General features: G+C 50.2%; 1 annotated feature.

Moving 5' to 3' along the window:
* Window positions 265–766: an enhancer, noted in NCBI's record as "H3K4me1 hESC enhancer chr19:42282657-42283158 (GRCh37/hg19 assembly coordinates)". NCBI's record gives its function as "activates a minimal SCP1, AML or CMV promoter by ChIP-STARR-seq in primed H9 embryonic stem cells {active_cell/tissue: H9 hESC(primed)}" and the evidence as "EXISTENCE:reporter gene assay evidence [ECO:0000049][PMID:30033119]".

Genomic DNA, 1,022 nt, shown 5'->3' with positions numbered 1-1,022 from the left:
CTCAGTAAATATGTGATCTATGGACAGAGGAATGTAACCCAATAGGGGGAGAAGGAAGGGTCAATGGGTTTCTAAATAGGAAAAAGCTGTGATGCCTTCCACACCCATCCCTTTGACCTCAGTGGAACAGCATCGAGGAAGTATGGCTCTTTTTTTTTTTTTTTTTTTTTTTTTTGAGATGGAGTCTTGCTTTGTCGCCCAGACTGGAGTGCAGTGGCGTGATCTCGGCTCATGCTAGCTCCGCCTCCGGGGTTCACGCCATTCTCCTGCCTCAGCCTGTCGAGTATCTGGGACTACAGGTGCCCGCCACCACGCCTGGCTAATTTTTCGTATTTTTAGTAGAGACGGGGTTTCTTCGTGTTAGCCAGGATGGTCTCGATCTCCTGACCTCGTGATCCACCCGCCTTGGCCTCTCAAAGTGCCTGGATTACAGGCATGAGCCACCGCACCCAGCCCCTTGACTCTTAAAATTATGTAAAGGAAAGTAAAAATCTCAGGACTGTCAAACTCATTACACCAAAGTGATAGTTCAGTCTGGAGGCTGAGTCATGTGACTCCACCATCTTTTCCCCAGATGAACAACTGTTATTATACAACCTGTGTCAAAGCATTGTACATTAGCCAGACCCCCACAGGAAGGCAAAAAGACCTCGGACATCTCTGGGTGACTGTCCTCACAAATTATTCTTTACTGGCCTTGGAACTTTTCAAGATGTATATCCTCCCATAAAACAAGGACAAAGCGGCCGGGCGTGGTGGCTCACACCTGTAATCCTAGCACTTTGGGAGGCCGAGACGGGCGGATCACGAGGTCAGAAGATCGAGACCATCCTGGCTAACATGGTGAAACCCCGTCTCTACTAAAAAAATTAGCCGGGTGTAGTCGCGGGCGTCTGTAGTCCCAGCTACTTGGGAGGCTGAGGCAGGAGAATGGCGTGAACCTGGGAGACGGAGCTTGCAGTGAGCCGAGATCGTGCCACTGCACTCCAGCCTGGGCGACTGAGCGAGACTCTGTCTCAAAA

This window comes from Homo sapiens, chromosome 19, assembly GCF_000001405.40.
Source record: "Homo sapiens chromosome 19, GRCh38.p14 Primary Assembly".
Taxonomy (NCBI): Eukaryota; Metazoa; Chordata; class Mammalia; order Primates; family Hominidae; genus Homo; species Homo sapiens.
Note: the sequence above shows the minus strand (reverse complement) of the source record. Positions and strands in the feature narration are given on the sequence as shown.